This window comes from Homo sapiens, chromosome 7 (genome assembly GCF_000001405.40).
Source record: "Homo sapiens chromosome 7, GRCh38.p14 Primary Assembly".
Classification (NCBI taxonomy): Eukaryota; Metazoa; Chordata; class Mammalia; order Primates; family Hominidae; genus Homo; species Homo sapiens.
The window spans coordinates 148,742,814-148,761,209 of NC_000007.14; the positions used below are offsets into that span (position 1 = coordinate 148,742,814).

General features: G+C 38.2%; 1 protein-coding gene across 6 annotated transcripts in view; it reads left to right on the forward strand.

Moving 5' to 3' along the window:
* CUL1 (cullin 1) overlaps positions 1 to 18,396 on the forward strand; it is a 103,355-nt gene that overhangs the window by 45,058 nt on the left and 39,901 nt on the right. For all 6 annotated transcript variants that reach the window (NM_001370660.1, NM_001370661.1, NM_001370662.1 and 3 more), the window contains exons 3-7: positions 11,163 to 11,337; positions 14,170 to 14,337; positions 16,491 to 16,541; positions 16,735 to 16,825; positions 17,520 to 17,683. In NM_001370660.1, the coding sequence (NP_001357589.1) occupies positions 11,163 to 11,337; positions 14,170 to 14,337; positions 16,491 to 16,541; positions 16,735 to 16,825; positions 17,520 to 17,683 (649 nt within the window). The remainder of the gene's footprint in view (positions 1 to 11,162; positions 11,338 to 14,169; positions 14,338 to 16,490; positions 16,542 to 16,734; positions 16,826 to 17,519; positions 17,684 to 18,396) is intronic.

Here is an 18,396-nt window from a genome sequence, read left to right on the forward strand (position 1 = left end):
GGCTAGTCTCAAACTCCTGACCTCAAGTGATCCACCTCCCTCAGCCTCCCAAAGTGCTGGGATTACAGGCATCAGCCATCATGCCCAACTCTTTCTACCTTTTCTGATATAAGTATTTGAAAGTATAAATTTCCTTTTAAGGATTTTTAGCCTTATTCTGCAAATTTTGATATGTTGTATCTTCATTACCATTTAATTCAAAACACTTTATTTGACCTTTGAATTATATAGGAAGATATTGTTTAGAAATATTGGATTTTCCCGGGTAGCTTATTGTTACTAATTCCTAATTATAATTCCATTTTGATCAGAGAACACACTGTATAATTTCCGTCCTTTTAAATGTATTGAAACGTGTTCAGTGGCCCAGAAAATAGCCTATCTTGGTGAATGTGCCATGTACTCTTGAAAAGAATGTGGGTTCTGCAGCTGTTGGCTGTAGATGGTGATGTGCTGGAGCTGGATCAGATCAGCTTGCGGGAGATGATTGTGCCCATCTCTCTCCCATCTCCCTGTGTGATATTGTCCTGTTGGTAGCTTGCATCTGCCATGGTGGGAACCTTATACAATAGACATCTATGGAGGCTACAAATCAGGGCTTTTCTTTTTTTCTTTTCTCCCTGCTCAGAGAGCCAATTTACCAGTATACCACTGGGTGTAGAATGTTACAACTGCCCATACAGATCATCCAAGTTGTGATTGATATTTTTCCTATGGTCTAGTTGCTGAGAGGAATGTTGAATCTTATCCTATGATTGTGAAATTGTCTCCTTTACCCTTTAATTCTGTCAAATTTTCATATATTTTAAGCCAGGTGTGGTGGCTCACATCTGTAATCCCAGCACATTGGGAGGCCAAGGCGGGCAGATCGCCGGAGGCCAAGGCGGGCAGATCGCCTGATGCCAGGAGTTCAAGACCAGCCTGGCCAACGTGATGAAACCCTGTCTCTACTAAAAATACAAAAATTAGCCGGTCATGGTGGTGGGCGCCTGTAGTTACTCTGGAGGCTGAGGCAGGAGAATCGCTTGAACCTGGGAGGTGGAGGTTTCAGTGAGCCGAGATGGCACCACTGCACTCCAGCCTAGGTGACAGAGCAAGACTCCATCTCAAAAAACAAATTTTTTTTCATATATTTTGAAACTCTGTTGTTAGACAAAAATACATTTGCGAATATGTCTTTTAAGTACATTTATTATGAAATGTGTCCCTTTTTATCCCTGGTAGTAATTTGTTGCCTGATAGTTATTAGCTTCTTTAACCTCTTTCTATGCTTAATGTTTGCATGATAATCTTTTTCCATCCATTTGCTTTCAACTTATGTGTATTTTTATATTTAAATTGTGTCCCTCATGTCAACATATAGAGCGGTCTTGCTGCTTTGCCCCTTCTGACCATCTCTGTCTTTTAATTGTAGTTTTAGCCCATTAACATTTGTTATAATTATTAATAGATTAATTTTAGGCCTACCATTTTGTTTTTTTCTCCCCTTAAAAAGTTTCTTTGTTCTTGCTTTCCACCCTTCTTTAGGATTATTTGAAATTTTTTTATAGTTCCTTTTTAATATATTTGTTGGTTGTTTCTGCAGTGTGTGTGTGTGTGTGTGTGTGTGTGTGTGTGTGTGTGTGAAAGAGAAGAAGGAATAAAGAGATTGCTCTAAGGATATAATACACATTTTTCTTAACATTCCACTTAGAGTTAAGATTGTATGACATCATAGAAAATGTAGAGGAATTGTGGTTGTATAGTTCCATTTACTACTCGTATCGCTCTCCTTTATATTACCTCTACATATGTTTTTAAACCCACAAGACGATATTATAAATTTTTGTTTTAAACCATCCTTTGTATTTTAAAGAATTAAGAAAAGTATATTTACCCAGATACTTACTGTTTCTACTGCTCTTCATTCCTTCCTAAAGATGCAGGATTCTATTGTAGTGTCAGTTTGCTTCCACCCAAAATGCAGGTCTCTACTATGAATTCCCTTAGTTTTATTTTACCTGAAAATAGCATTATTTTGCCTTCATCTTTGAAGGATATTTTCACTGGCTATAGAACTACAATTACTTTTTTTCTTTCAGCATTTTTTTTTCTTTCACCACTTAAACATGTTATTGCACTGTCTTCTGGCCTTTGTAGTTTTTGATGAGAAGTTACTGGTCATGTGAACTCTTTTTCTGTGTTACGTTCTTTTTCCCTGTCCGCTTTCAAGATTGTTCCCCCTTTGGTTTTCTAGAAGTTTTAATCTTTTTTTTCCTCTCAAGAGTTGATCGTTTCTGTTGGTCTCTGTGCAAACCCATGACTCGTCTTTATTTTGCTGTCAAGACCATCCAATGAGTAATTTATTCTAGATTTCCTGGTATTTCAGTTCTAGAATTTTTATTTTGTTCTTTTTCATGGTTTCTGTTTTTGTGCTGCAATTTTCATTGATTATGAACATATTTTTCTATATCTTTTATTATAACTATAATAGTTGCTTTAGAGTCTTTGTCTCCTAATTCCAACATTTGGGTCAACTACAGCTGGTCTCTGTTGATTGTCTTTTGTCTTGAGAGTGGATCTCATTTTCCTGTTTCTTTTACATCAACCATGTTGGGCTGTGCCATTCCCTTCTTCCAACACTAGGCCACTTTTCAGTATACACCTTCTTTTGGTGGTTCTCTGGTGCCTTCAAGATCATTGTTTTAATATTTTTTCTAGAGTTTATCGTTATTTGCCAGAAATGTGGTTAGGTACTTCGGTACATTTAAAATTGGAATCATGGTTTAAGTAACTGAAAGTTTCAGAGGCTCCATAGTGACTATTAGGATGAAGATGGACTGGAGGTAGGGGGTAGAAAGGAGATGTGTTCTCTATTCGCAGGAAATCAATAATTTACGCAAACGTTGATTGGTCAAAGAACAAAACAAGCATATGACTTAAAGACATGTACATATCCAGCTAAAAATGAAGAACTAACTCTAGAAACAGTTAAAGATGTTTCCCACTATGGGTGGGGAGGGTGGGATCATAACATTCTGGCTTGTTCTTCAGTTGTTTTGCTTGTTTCATCTCTTCAATTTAGATATACGTTGAACCTAAATTGTCATAAGCAGGAAGTCTCCTAACCACTATCATCTAATGCTTTCCATTCCTGACTAGATAATGGTGAGGAGTGATGCTGATTTGGGAATGAATGTGATGTTAAACTGAGTAGAAACTTCAAAACAGCTTTTAAGAAGCATTCGTTTTGTTTCAATTGTGCCTTTCAATCTGTTTTGTGAGGCCCCTTGCCTGTGTGTGTGTGAGGTCCTCTCTGAGGGGTGGGCTTGGGGGAGGAAGTAATGGTGGGGAGGGGCAGTGTTCTGGGCACTGAGCTTTCCTCCACAAAGAACACTTGGTGAGAATGAAAGGATTCTGTGGCCAAAAGTTTAAAACCCCTAGCCCTGCTCTCTGGAAGCAACTGCTACATTGATTCATTGATTCGAGTGCATTGCAAAGTCAGTGCACATAGTACAGTAGCTGGCCAGGTATCAGTGATGACCTAGTCATCATCATTGCATCAGTGCACACTTGCGTGCAGCCTTGTTCTTTCTGTCAGCAAACTATTTAAGGACCATTGCAAGAATCTGCCCTGAAAGAACAAACCTTTGGATATCAAGAAAGCTCAGGATCAGACTTAGAAAATGGATGGGCGCAGATTAGGAGAAAATCCTAGAATTAGCCTTGGACTACTACTAAGGAGTGCTAACATACTTAGTGGCTCGGAGGACAACGTTATGTGGAAAAACACAGACATCCTTAGTAAGAGTCAAAATGATTCAGAATGGACTCTATGTAAAACCATTTTGGCAATATCCTAGCCAATCTATTTAGCTTTTCTTTATCCACTTACGAGAATGTTAGGATAAATCTGTTTAAGTCTAAAACAGGTGATTCTTTAGTAAGTAAAAGTAAAAATTCCATCTGATGAAAATGCATTCTAGTTGGCAGCATTTTCTTTTCTTAAATATACTTAATGATACATGTTACGATTGATGTCTTAGCTGAAATGTGATAAATATATTGCAGTCTTTTTAACCACCATCTATTCCATGACATTGTTAAAAGCTGCGTACTCTATCTTCAGGTGGACCCGAGAGTGGGTTTAACTAAGTTTGACAAATAGCTTGTTACGAGTTTTTTGCCATTAGGAGCAATGCTGTGATAGTTTGCTAGCTAAGTATTTGTACATTTCCGTGATGATTTCCCTGTGATAAATGCTTATGAATATAATTGCTGTATCAAAAGGAATGCACTTGTTGAAGGCTTTTGAATATTCCAGATTTTACTTCAGAAACGGTGTAATTGTGTACACTCTTAAGCATATGGAAGCTCCCATTTTGCTGCACTTTAGCTATCATTGGGTTTGTTTTTTTAAAAACCTTTGTTAATTTAGTAGCTGGGAAGCCATAGATTGCCAAGGAACAGCAGTCAGGCTGAACTAAATAACCTGAAACATCCTGGAACCAAGCACCTAAAACTGGGTGCTGTGTGAAATACAGCAAAGTGTAATGCTCTGCACAAAAGTAAGAGGGAATTCCCAGGCATCTGAAGAAGAGAAGAGAGCTGAAAATGAAGGTGCTAACCATTGTGAGCCTCTGTGTGGCAGCATAAGGACTTGAGCAAGGTAGGCTGGCCGGTAGGGGTCACACAGAAAAGGAAACAAAGCCTTACACCTGGCTGGGAGGGGCTGAGAGCTGACGTTTCCATGGAAACCTGGAAGACAGAAGCCTAAATACCCTTAAGTGTATAGGTGAACTGAAAAAAATAATAATCATCGACCTACTCTCCCAGGAAGGCAACTGCTAAAGGATTTAAGCTGAGCTCTGGATATAAGGAGAGTGGGGAAAGTTGTCTTTAGAATCAAGGAGCAAAAACCACTATGGAAAACAAGACAGGTTTTTAAAAGAGAAATTCTATAAATGTAAAATGAAGTCATTAAAATTAAACACTAAATTTGACACAACCAAAAGAGAATCACTTAACCAGATGGCAGATCAGGAAAAATTAGAAAGTTTGAACAAAGATAAAGTGATAGAAGATCATTGAAGACTTTCAACCAAGGTATAGAAGGTAACATGAAAATATCTCACATAGACGTAATAGAAGAGCTAGGAGAAAATAGAAAGGGGACCGGAAATATTTGAAGAGGTAATAGAATCTTCCAAAATTGTTGCAAGGTAAAGTGGGCATGTCATATTTTAAGGTAATTAACCATTTCAAGAATGTATAACTCCAAAATAAAACAAGAGCTATAAGGGAACAAGTAAACTACCATTCCAGTAGAAGGGGAAAGGGAGGAAAACCGGAAACATAGAAACAGAGTTAAAATAGAAAATACAAAACAGGATCGTAGAAATTAATCCAAATAACAGTATGAAACAGTTTACCTAAAACCAAACTCGTCTATCAGATAATACTAGACTCAGTTTTTTTAAAAAGTCAATTATGCTGTGGTGATTTACAGTAGACACACCAAGACACAGAAACAAAGGTTGAAAATAAAGGGCTGGAACAAAGACATTTAAGGAAAATTCCAACCGAAAGGTATAATAATGTCAGATACAATAAGTTTCTAAGGCAATGTTGTTAGGAATAAACGTGGTTACTTCCTAATCATAAAAGGTACAGGTTACCAGGAATATAATTTCAAATATGTATATTAGTTAACACTGCCTCAAAATATGGCAGATATTTTAGAGAATTATAAGATAAATTGATAAAACCATTTGGGAGATTTCACTAAAAATTTCTTGGTAATTAATAAGCAGACAAATCAGAAACAATATAGAAGATCTGAAAAATAGAGTTGACCAGCTCTAATGGGTCCCTGTATCCAATAGTTAGAGATGGGCATTGTTTTTAGGCACATGTGAAATAATGGCCCCCCCGTTCTGGCCCAGCAGAAATTATATACTTGGCAACAAGTCTCATCACATTTTAAATAAACTGTCAAAAAGATAACATTCTCATGTTTCCGCAATTTAATTTTAAAATGAAATTAAATTTTTTTGAAGGTAAAATACATTTTGGAAATCTAAACTGTTTAACTCTTAGAACGAACAGTGGAAAAGAGAAAATATAACTGAATGATAAGGAAAATATATACACATCAGATTGATGTGATGCAGCCAAGTGGCATGTAGAAGAAACTCTAGTATTAGTATAGGTTTTTCCTATACTTTCCATGTAGTATGAACATTTTATATAAGTATTTTAAATGCTTATTTAAAAAAGGAAATTACAGAGTTAACCAAAACAAGGATTTGTAGAGAAAAGGCATATGTAAGGAAAGAAGTAGTCTGGGCGTGGTGGCTCACGCCTGTAATCCCAGCACCTTGGGAGGCAGAGGTGGGCAGATCACCTGAGGTCAGGAGTTCGAGACCAGCCTGACCAACATGGAGAAACCCCGTCTCTACTAAAAATACGAAAATTAGCTGGGCGTGGTGATGCACGCCTGTAATCTCAGTTATTCAGGAGGCTGAGGCAGGAGAATCACTTGAACCCGGGAGGCGGAGGTTCAGTGAGCCAAGATTGTGCCACAGCTCTCCAGCCTGGGCAACAGAGTGAGACTCCATCTCAAAAAAAAAAAAAAAAAAAAGTAAAAAGGTACAGAAATGAAATAAAGATACAGTAATGAAAATTATTAAAACCCAAAATAGTTCTTTAAAAAACCGACAAGCCTCTGGCAAAATCAATGATAAAAAGAATGGCTTTGAGGCGCCACACACTGCACCCATCTAAAACAGCAAACTTAATCCATAAATGCATGTGTCTGCTCCACCGACTGGCCATTCCCCCATCTCTCTTTGGCCTTCCTACTCCCTGAGACACAACAATCTTGAGTTGAGGCCAGTTGATAACCCCCACAATGGCTTCAGAGTGTTCAAGTAAAATGAAGAGTTGCATTTCTCTCACTTTAGATCAAAAACTAGCAATGATTAAGCCAAATGAGGAAGGCATGTTGAAAGCTGAGATAGGCCAAAAGCTAGGCCTCTTGTGCTAAACAGTTAGCCAAGTTGTGAATGCTAAGGAAAAGTTCTTGGAGGAAATTAAAAGCGCTGCTCCAGTGAATGCACAAATGATAAGAAAGCGAAACAGCCATATTGCTGGTAAGGAGAAAGTTGGAGTGGTCTGGATAGAAGATCAAACCAGTCACAGCATTCCCTTAAGCCAGTGCCTAATCCAGAGCAAGGCCCTAACTCTCTGCAATTCTGTAAAGGCTGGGAGAAGTGAGGAAGCTACAGAAGAAAAGCTAGAAGCTAGCAGAGGTTGGTTCATGCGATTAAAGAAAAGAAGCCATCTTTTATAACAGTAGTGCAAGGTGAAGCAGCAAGTGCTGATGGAGAATAGCAAGTTAGCCAGAAAATCTAGGATCATTGATGAAGGTGGCTGCGTAAGCAACAGATACTCAATTTAGTCAAAACATCCTTCTACTGGAAGGAGATGCCACCTAGGACTTTTTTTTTTTTTTTTAAATTATACTTTAAGTTCTAGGGTACATATGCACAATGTGCAGGTTTGTTACATAGGTATACATGTGTCATGTTGGTTTGCTGCACCCATTAACTCGTCATTTACATTAGGTATTTCTCCTGATGCTGTCCCTTCCCTAGCCCCCCGCCCCACGACAGGCCCTGGTGTGTGATGTTCCCCTTCCTGTGTCCAAGTGTCTTCATTGTTCAATTCCCACCTATGAGTGAGAACATGCAGTGTTTGGTTTTCTGTCCTTGTGATAGTTTGCTCAGAATGATGGTTTCCAGCTTCATCCATGTCCGTGGTAAAGAACATGAACTCATCCTTTTTTATGGCTGCATAGTATTCCATGCCACCTAGGATTTTCATAGCTAGAGAGAAGTTAATGCTTGTGTCAAAGCTTCAAAGGACAGGCTGACTCTCTTGGAGGTGAATGTAGCTGGTGACTTTGTTGAAACGAGTGATCACTTACCATTCTGAAAATCCTAAGGCCCTTAAGAATTATGCTAAGTCAAGCCAATGTGGTGACCCGTGCCTGTATTTTCAGCTTCACAGGAGGCTAAGGTGGGAGGATCACTTCAGACCAAGAGTTTGAGGCAGTAGCCTGCTATGATCATGTCTGTGAATAGCCACTGCTCTCCAGCCTGGGCAACATAGTGAGATCCTGTCTCTTTAAAAAAAAAAAAAAACAAAACAAAACTGTCTATGCCCTAGAAATGGATATTAAAACCATAATAAACCACAGTATGAATGCAAGGCCAAGGTTGTGGTCGATGAAAACTCATGCACTACAGGGTGCTGGATAGCCGCTTTGTAGCACTAAGTTGGCAACTCTTAATAAAGTTAAACCCACCACTTTGGGAGGCCAAACAGGAGGATTGCTTGAGCCCAAGAATTTTGGACCAGCCAGGGCAACATAGCAAGACCCCATCTCTACAAAAAATTGTTTAAAAGGGCCTGGCAAGGTGGCTCACATCTGTAATCCTAGCAACTTTGGGAGGTCGAGGCAGGTGGATTGCCTGAGGTCAGGAGTTCAAGACCAACCTGACCAATATGGTGAAACCCTGTCTCTACTAAAAATACAAAAATTAGCCAGGAATGGTGGCAGGCGCCCGTAATCACATCTACTCAGGAGAATCGCTTGATCCCGGGAGGCAGAGGTTGCAGTGAGCCGAGATTACATCACTGCACTACAGCCTGGGAGACAGAGTGAGACTCTGTCTCAAAAAAAAAAAAAAAAAAAACCTCTCTTGTCACTTTGTCACTTAGTATTTCTGTGCTCCAAGAAACTTGTACTCAAGGAGACCTGCTAGTTTTATTCTTTGCAGCTTTGTAAATACACAAAAAATAGGTATCTGCCAAAAGGACTATTAGCAAGGTCCACCACCAAGAGAGTTGATGAAGTATTGTAAATGTGCGTTACACAGTATATTACAGCTGCGGCTATGTCAGATACCATCAAAAACAAATGGCAGAGCAAATGTACATATTACAGTTTGTATAATTTAAAAATGTAGAACATGGCCAGACGCGGTGGCTCACGCCTGTAATCCCAGCAGTTTGGGAGGCCGAGGAGGCTGGATAGCCTGAAGTTGGGAGTTTGAGACCAGCCTGACCTACATGGAGAAACCTCATGTCTACTAAACATACAAAATTAGCCAGGCGTGGTGGCGCCTGCCTGTAACCACAGCTACTCGGGAGGCTGAGGCAGGAGAATCGCTTGAACCCAGGAGGTAGAGGTTGTGAGCTGAGATCACGCCATTGCACTCCAGTCTGGGCAACAAGAGTGAAACTCCATCTCAAAAAAAACAAAACAAAATGTAGAACATGTGAAATATATTTGATACACATTTATCCAGCAAAATATAAAAACATAGGAATGATATATACCAAATCATGGTGCTATTTGCTAGGGTAAGAGGAAGGAGTGGGATGAAAGAGGGAGAATATAGTGCTTCACTTATAACCTGTAATATTTTATTTTCTCAAAAGTTGAGGGAGGCTGTAGGTGGAATATGAGACAAGTGTGGGAATGCAGTAAGATCTATCAAAACTGGGTCATGAGTATACAGTAGTTGTTTATTGTAATCTGTGATTCTCTATACAATTGAAATAGTTAATAATTTTTCATTGTTTTAAAGTATAGTTCTTTGATTATTACCTAGATTGGTTATTTTATTAGGTTTGGGGGCATTAGTATATATTTATTTTACCTTTTAGATTTTCTGTGGTATATTTTGTTCATGTTTCCATAGAGATTCATTTTTTTAATTGCTTTAAATTACCTTAATTTATTAAAGATAGTTTAAGGTATTTCATCTTAATCTACAATTTTGAATTTATTTATTTATTTTTTGAGACAGAGTCTTGCTCTGTCGCCCAGGCTGGAGTGCAGTGGCATGATCTCAGCTCGCTGCAAGCTCCGCCTCCCGGGTTCATGCCATTCTCCTGCCTCAGCCTCCCGAGTAGCTGGGACTACAGGCGCCTGCCACCACGCCCGGCTAATTTTTTGTGTGTGTTTTTAGTAGAGATGGGGTTTCACCGTGTTAGCCAGGATGGTCTCAATCTCCTGACCTTGTGATCCACCTGTCTCGGCCTCCCAGAGTGCTGGGATTACAGGCGCGAGCCACCGCGCCCAGCCTGAATTCATTTTTTTGTGTGATCTTACTTAGAAAGGGCCGCTCCAGCCTGAGAACAGATAAGCGTTCACATATATATTCTTGGTTTTACTGTTTTAGCTTGTATATTTTAAATCTTAATCCATTTGTAATATATTTTGGAATATAACATGGAATATTTAGAAATATCTTGCCCTCATGCCATTTATTAGATAATCTATCTTTTACCCGTTGTCTTGAAGTATCTTTATATAGTAAATTCTTAATTATACCAGAATATTGTTTTGTTCTGTTTTGTTGATCTTTCTGAGTATAAGTATCTTTCCGTTCATTTTATTCAATTAATAATACATGCAGATAAGCTCATCATATTTAAAGGATACAACAGAACACGGTGGTTTTCTGCCCTGCCTGGCCCCATCTTCTCATTCTCTGCGCTCCCCCTGCAGATGCAGCTGTTTTGCAATCAGCTGTCTGTGCTGTGGTTTATACATCTCTCTCTTTCTCAGGAGTGTGTGGACACTGCTGCCGTTCACTGATAAGTTTTAGATGGCTATGACTATTGTAATATAAGGACTTGGCTCTCTGAGTCATTTTAAAATAAAGTTTGTGTTATTTCAATATTTAGAATCTGTGCCTCTGAAAAAGTTACAGCTGAGCATCATAATAGACAGTGCTTATTGTTAGCTTTTTGTTTTTCCTGGAGTCAGTAATTGCATTTTTCTTTTGGGACAGTTTTCCACAAGGTCAGTCACATCAGATAATCTAAAAGGTCCAGATTTTTTTATAGGCAACCTCCCTCCTGGAATGTTCCCTTCTCCACCTTGGCGGTGTTGCTCTCAAGGCCTACCAACAACCTTGTGAATGGGGCTTGTTGACTTTTAGCTTTATGGATAGTGTGAATGGGATCTTTGTTCCATTCTAGTTTTTAACAGGTTTTGGTTGATATATTGGGAATGCATTGGTAATGAAATATAAGAAAATATGTTTATGTTAATGACCGTTAACGTCTGTGATATATGTTGGTTTCCTTAACTTTTCTCCAAGTCATGTTTATAACTACTGTACTAGTGTTCACCAGTCAAACCAAGCACGAGGAGCTGGAGTTCCTCCTTCTAAGTCGAAAAAGGGGCAGACACCTGGAGGAGCTCAGTTTGTTGGCCTGGAATTATATAAACGACTTAAGGAATTTTTGAAGAATTACTTGACAAATCTTCTTAAGGTAAGATGTTTTATATATATACTGAGTATTCATAACAGGATATAAAAAAAGTGAAATAATGGTTCTAACTTGTTAAATCTTTCACTGTCATCTGTTACTGTTTTAGACACTAACGTAGGTGACAGTGTTTTGCTATTGCATAGTCTTTTACCTACTGTGAATATGAAATCACCATAAACTATATTCTAGGGTTTTGTTTTTTCGAGATGGAGATCTCACTATGTTGCCCAGGCTGGATTTTTGATCTCCTGGGCTCAAGTGATCCTTCCACTTCGGCCTCCTGAGTAGCTGAGACTCTGCAAATGCTCACCACCGTGCCCAGCTCTTTCTGTTTTTTAAAATTAGAAAGCTTTGATAACCTTTTAGCATAATAGTGCTTTCGTTAAATTACCAACCATTTTGGATTTGGTTGTTAGAAATGATGAACTTTTTCATTTAAAGCAAATATGTATTCAAATTATCTGCATTTTACTGTGAACCCAATGTGGTGTTCCCTATCAAGGTGTAGAAATAATTGTAAGGTTATTCAGTCTTGGAAACCATGTTTTTCAAATGTGATCTTGCTCTTTACACATGGTTATGAAGTACTTTTTTTCTTTTCCTTTTTTTTTTTTAAGACAGGGTCTTGTTCTGTCACCCAGGCTGGAGTGCAGTAGTGCAATCATAGGTCATTGCAGCCTCCAACTCCTGGGATCAAACAATCCTCCCGCCTTAGCCTTCTGAGTAGCTAGGACTACTGGCATGTACCACCATACCCAGCTCCCAGCTAATTTTTAAATCTTTTGTAGAATCAGGGTCTCTTTATGTTGCCCAGGCTGGTCTCCAACTCCTGGGCTCAAGCAGTCCTCCACCTCCACCTCCCGAAGTGTTGGGATTACAGGTGTGAGCCACAGTGCCTGGCCATGACGTGTATTTCAAAACTGCTGTGAAATTGTGCTCGTGACTACGATGAGTTTCACTGTGAATATCCATTTCCTTCTAGCGTAGGTCCCTCCCACTCCAAGCCTTTGGTTGGGCAGTGTGGTGGAGTCTTTTCCCCTTCATCTCCCGCCTTTTCTTCCTTGGTCTTCATCCTTTGTAGCAAAGGCAGTGTGACTCCTTGTATCTAGCCACAAGATGAGCAAGTGGGTCCTTCATCTGGTTCTACACTGTCAAAGAGTGAAGACGTCTATACTGTGACCCCAGGGAAATTTGCAGGAACTCTTCTGTGTATATATTTTAAATATTTTTTATTTACACAATGTGCAAAAATTCTGCATGCTGCAAAATTGTTTTACCTAATTTATTTTTGCAAGCTAATTGAAAACTTTAAAACATCTTGCTAACAGACTGTATGTAGTTGGCTGGCCATAAGTTGTGACTAGTGTATTATTTTCATCTTCCCCAAATGGTGTTTCTAAGGTCTTGCTGAAGCCACTGTTCTTTTTATTCACAACACATCATAAAGTGAATGTTGTAATTAATTAATTATTCTTTAGTACTAAAGTAAGAAACAGTATATTGTGCTAAGTAAAAAGGTTGATGACCATGCCATCAGTGATATTTTTGCATTTTAAAAAGGTCAAGTACCATCATCCAAAATAGCTTAGCTTTACATTTTAAAGTTCATTTCATATTATTTAAATTTAAATGAACAAAAAATTATTTGTCTCAAGAGATGATCCGGTTTTTACATGGCTTGTTTGGTCACTCGTGTACCTTATACATGTGGAGCTTCCAGTCTGTTGTAGCCATTTAGTTTTCATTGAAGACACTGAGGCTCAGAGAAGCCAGTGGGCTCGCCCCAGCCCTTCCTGCAGCCCTCCTGCCCCCACCTTCCTCTTTCGTGCTTCTCTGCTGCACACACCTAAATGGCAGTGCTGCCATACAGTACCATTAACGTTTTTAAAGGGTAAGGTTTACTTTGTAGATGCCATTAATCCCTAAGAAAAAAAATTCCGGTTAGTCTCCTTCAAATAAAAATTTGTGACTCAAGTTGTGGAAATCTGGATAAAAATAATTTTCGTAAATGCACATTTTCTTGAAATATTGTTATACTATTGTACTTACCTTATTTTTACAGATCACCACAAAAAAGTGTTTTTATGGTTTTTAAGTAAATTTAAAGAAGGAAGAAGATGCATGTAAAAATTGAATAGTATTAGTCTCATTGTCTGAATTGCTAAGTAGGACATGTTGATTTCTTTTTTTTTTGGGAAGGGGTGCGGCGGAGTCTTGCTCTGTCGCCCAGGCTAGAGTGCAGTGGTGCGATCTTGGCTCACTGCAACCTCCGCCTCCTGGGTTCAAGCGAGTCCCCTGCCTCAGCCTCCCAAGTAGCTGGGACTACAGGCATGTGCCACCACGCCCCGGCTAATTTTTGTATTTTTAGTAGAGACAGGGTTTCACCATGTTGGCCAGGCTGGTCTTGAACTCCTGACCTCAAGTGATCTGCCCACCTCGGCCTCCCAAAGTGCTGAGATTAGAGGTGTGAGCCACTGTACCCAGCCAATTTTTTTTTAAACAAATATCAAAAATACAGATGATTTTGTGGTATATTTCTTAATAAAAAGGAATTACCCGCATATCAAATGTTCAGGGTACTTTTTTTGAGTGTGTTTGCATATTTAATACCATGAAAAATGTTCCAGTTTAATTTGAGATGAAAGAATTATTTTACTATATTCTTGTGAGTTTATATATATTAGCATGTTTTTGTATACAGAATAATTTAAAGAAGCCATCTAAAATCACATGTGTCAATGTATTTTAATACAGTAGATGTTATTCACCGTTATTTTTAATTTATAATGTGACAAATTAGTCATCTTAAAGCTTTAGTTAACTTGTTTTTAGGATGGAGAAGATTTGATGGATGAGAGTGTACTGAAATTCTACACTCAACAATGGGAAGATTATCGATTTTCAAGCAAAGTGCTGAATGGAATTTGTGCCTACCTCAATAGACATTGGGTTCGCCGTGAATGTGACGAAGGACGAAAAGGAATATATGAAATCTATTCGGTAAGAGTTTTGTTTTAAAACGTTTTAAATTTGTTTTTGTTTTTGTTTTTTTTAATGGCAAATTGTCTTTCAGCAAGAGAATCTAGGCAAATATTAAGCTTTTTTCAGAATAGTAAACTAATTTTCATTGTTTTATCAATAAATGTCACTTAAATATTTTTTAGCAAGAAAGTAGAAGAATGGGTAAATTGGAGTTCTAAAATACAATTTGCCCATTTCTGCATTTGCTTTTTAAAAATTTCTTCTTTAATTACCTGACCCTACCATCACAGTTTGCCTGGAACTGCCTGAGTTTTCGCACTGAAAGTCCTGAGTCCTGGTAGTCCCAGGCAAATCAGGTGCCATACCTGAGGGCGAGCCCTGAGGATTAGCCCTCCCATGCTTTAGAGTCTGGGAAACGCTGCTTCATGGAGAGGACCCTGAATTAATTAATTACTAAATCACCCTCAGTAATATACGTTTCTTCAGTCAATGAAAGGGGTTTTTTTGGTCCATTGGTTTTCAAAGTATGGTCCTGTATTAGTCTGTTTTCATACTGCTGATAAAGACCTACCTGAGACTGGGTAATTTATAAAGCAAAGGAAGTGTAATGGGCTCAACAGTTCCACGTGGCTGGGAAGGCCTCACAACCATGGCAGAAGGCACATCTTAGATGGCGGCAGGCAAGACAGAATGAGAGCCAAGCAAAAGCGGAAACCCCTTATAAAACCATCAGATCTCGTGAGACTATTCACTACTATGAGAACAGTATGGGGGAACCACCCCCATGATTCAGTTGTCTCCCACTGGGTGCCTCCCGCAACATGTGGGAATTACGGGAGCTATAGTTCAAGATGAGATTTGGGTGGGGACATAGCCAAACCATATCAGGTCCCCAAACCTGCTCTGTCAGCATCACCTGGGGACTTGTTAGAAATGCACATTCTCAGGCCTCATCCTAGACTTAAAGAGAAACTCTGGAGATGGGGCCCAGCAATGTTTTACCAAGCTCTCCAGACAATTCTGATGCATGCTCCAGTTTGAGAACCAGTGTTCTAGAGCAGTTAAGGGAGGACTCAGAACAGTCTGTTCATAGGCTGTCAGATCCACACAGACAATGCCCTTTAAAACTAGTTTTGTTAAAATGTCAGATTCTACATAAAGGAGTTAATCACCATATCCAAGAATGTTGCTATAATAGCAGTACTTTGTAGCTTCACTTTTGACAAATTTAAAAGAAAAACAATGCTGGTTGCAGTGGCTCATGCTTGTAATCCTAGCACTTTGGGAGACCGAGGCAGGAGACCAGCCTGGGCAGCATAATGAGACCTACAAAAAAAATATCCAGGCATGGTGACGCACCTATAGTCCCAGCCACACATGAGGCTGAGGTGGAAGCATCACTTGAGCCCAGGAGGTGGAGGGTTCAGTGAGCCATGGTGGTACCACTGGACTCTACCTTGAGTGACAGAGTGAGATCATGTCTCAAGAAAAAAAGAAAAGCATAATGTATCCCAGATGCATGACTAGTTTTTATTGTCTGTATAGCTCCAGTTTCTATACCAAAATTGTTATTGCTTCATAATGATACTTTGCTATGTAGTTAATCCAGTTCTAACAAAACTTTCTAGGTTTAGTTGTTTGATTTGGGGTTTTTGTGCTTCCCCTTTAACATTTTATTTATTTTTTTAACTGACAAAAATGTGTACACCATGCCTTTTTGAAATATGTGTATATTGTGGAATGGCTAATGGGATTTTTTCTTTTTCACATATAAATGCTTTCTTGAGACTCAAAAGTTGTTAGTGTAGGAATCAGGATGGTCTTGGTTCATTTCCTTTTGGAAACCTGCTTGACCTAAATGTGTACCTTACAGTAACATCACAGACTCCTAAAAATCATTACGGTTTTTAAACTTTTCCTATACTGTTTCCAACAACAGTTAAAGAAAATGTAAATAAAGAAGTTGAGCTGACAAATGTCTGTGCTTGGATACCTCTTGAAGTTGTTGACTCTAGAGAGTGGCTTTCTGCTTTTGTCCTGATAGCAGATTTTGACCAACTTGTAATCTAGAAATTTTGATAAAGTAATTTGAGATTTAGGTTATTTCCTATGACTTCAATCTTGGAAAAACATGGTAAAAGTATAGACATTTTGTACTTTTTTTTCTCCAGCTTGCATTGGTGACTTGGAGAGACTGTCTGTTCAGGCCACTGAATAAACAGGTACCTACTGGTGTGAGCGTGTGCATGTTCCTTTTAAAATCCCTTCGCAGTTTCGTTGCTTAGCTTTTGTCTCGTCACTCCTTCGGATTATCCCATCTTACATTGTTTAGTGGCTGTGAATGTTTAAGGGATATGTAGTAATATATATCATATTCTATAACCTGTGTAATATTTTTCTACATCCTTTCTAAAGGTAACAAATGCTGTTTTAAAGCTGATTGAAAAGGAAAGGAATGGTGAAACCATCAATACAAGATTGATTAGTGGAGTTGTACAGTCTTACGGTAAATAATTTCCCTTTAGTTTATTCAAAGTTTTCACATCAAATGGCAATTACAACAATGCTCTAACAGATGTCATTTTTAAAATATTTTAATATTATAAAGGATATTGTTAGCATTTACGAAGGTACTTACATTTCTTTTTAAGTCAGTGTGACTTTATTTGTTTTTATCCATCATAAAAGCTGTTTGATCCGTGTGCCTTAAGGAAATTTTGATGAAATAGACATTTTGATTATTTTCTTTTCTGGTCTCATAGTGAATTACTGGATATGTTAGAGTGTGAGCTCAATGATAACCAGAAATCTATATCAGCTTGAAAAATTGAGATTGAGAAACTGATAAAGTAATACAATGTCTTAAAAACTTGGGTAGCATTGTATTTCTTTGCAAATTTAAAATTAGTTATTTTTATTGCTTTTGGAAATACAAAAGTTCTCTAAAGGAACTTCATAATTTTGAAGCATACCTGGCCATGGGTCAGAATTACTTGCTTTTTATACGTCTTGGATTTTTTTCCTTTTTTATTTTATTGAAAGAGTGTACTTTAATACTAGTGAGTAAGAGTTACTTATGTCCTGCCATTTCACATTTACCTTTTAAACATAACTTAAACTGAATGCTACACCTAAGTATATTCTGTGAAATATAACCAAAAAAATAGGGTAATTGAAATATAGCTCATATTCATTTCTAGTGGAATTGGGGCTGAATGAAGATGATGCATTTGCAAAGGGCCCTACGTTAACAGTGTATAAAGAATCCTTTGAATCTCAATTTTTGGCTGACACAGAGAGATTTTATACCAGAGAGAGTACTGAATTCTTGCAGCAGAACCCAGTTACTGAATATATGAAAAAGGTAAGCTTAAATATAGTACTTTAAGTAGACTTAAGTTAAAGTCATTGCTACTCAAGTGAGTTCTTTTTAGCATATACAGCTTTCTTTACAAGTCATTTGTTGGGCATTGTTTTTCTAGAGTGTTTTTATCAGGTGCAAGTGCTTCTCCTAATTCTCCAAGGAGCTTCTATAAATTAATTTGGTAATCGTGACTGAGAGTTCTCCTTGCTGTTCTAAGGATATAACCACAATAGCTACATGAATTTTTTTTAACTGTTTATTGTAGAATGTGGATTTATATAAAATGGGCATCACAGTCATGTCAATGAGAAAATTTTAAGAAACAAATATTTTCAGATTTGCAAACTTTAATTTTTTGCTTCTAAAATATCCCTAAGAATCTATTACATAGCTTTCATGATTATATTAGAGGAAAAGTTCTTCTGAAACTAGGCTTTAAATTCTAATATGAGAGGACGGCTGTCCTCCCGCTTCAGCCTCCAGAAGTAATGGGATTAGAGGCGTGAGCCACCACACTCAGCTAATTGTTTTATTTTTGTAGAGATAGGGTCTCGCTATTTTTGTAGAGATAGGTTGCCCAGGTTGGTCTCAAACTCTTGGGCTTAAGTGATCCTGCCACCTGGGCCTCCGAAAGTGCTGGGATTACAGATGTGAGTAACCATGGCCCGCTGATAATAAAGATCTAGTAGAATTACTCTTTGTTCTCTTTCTTA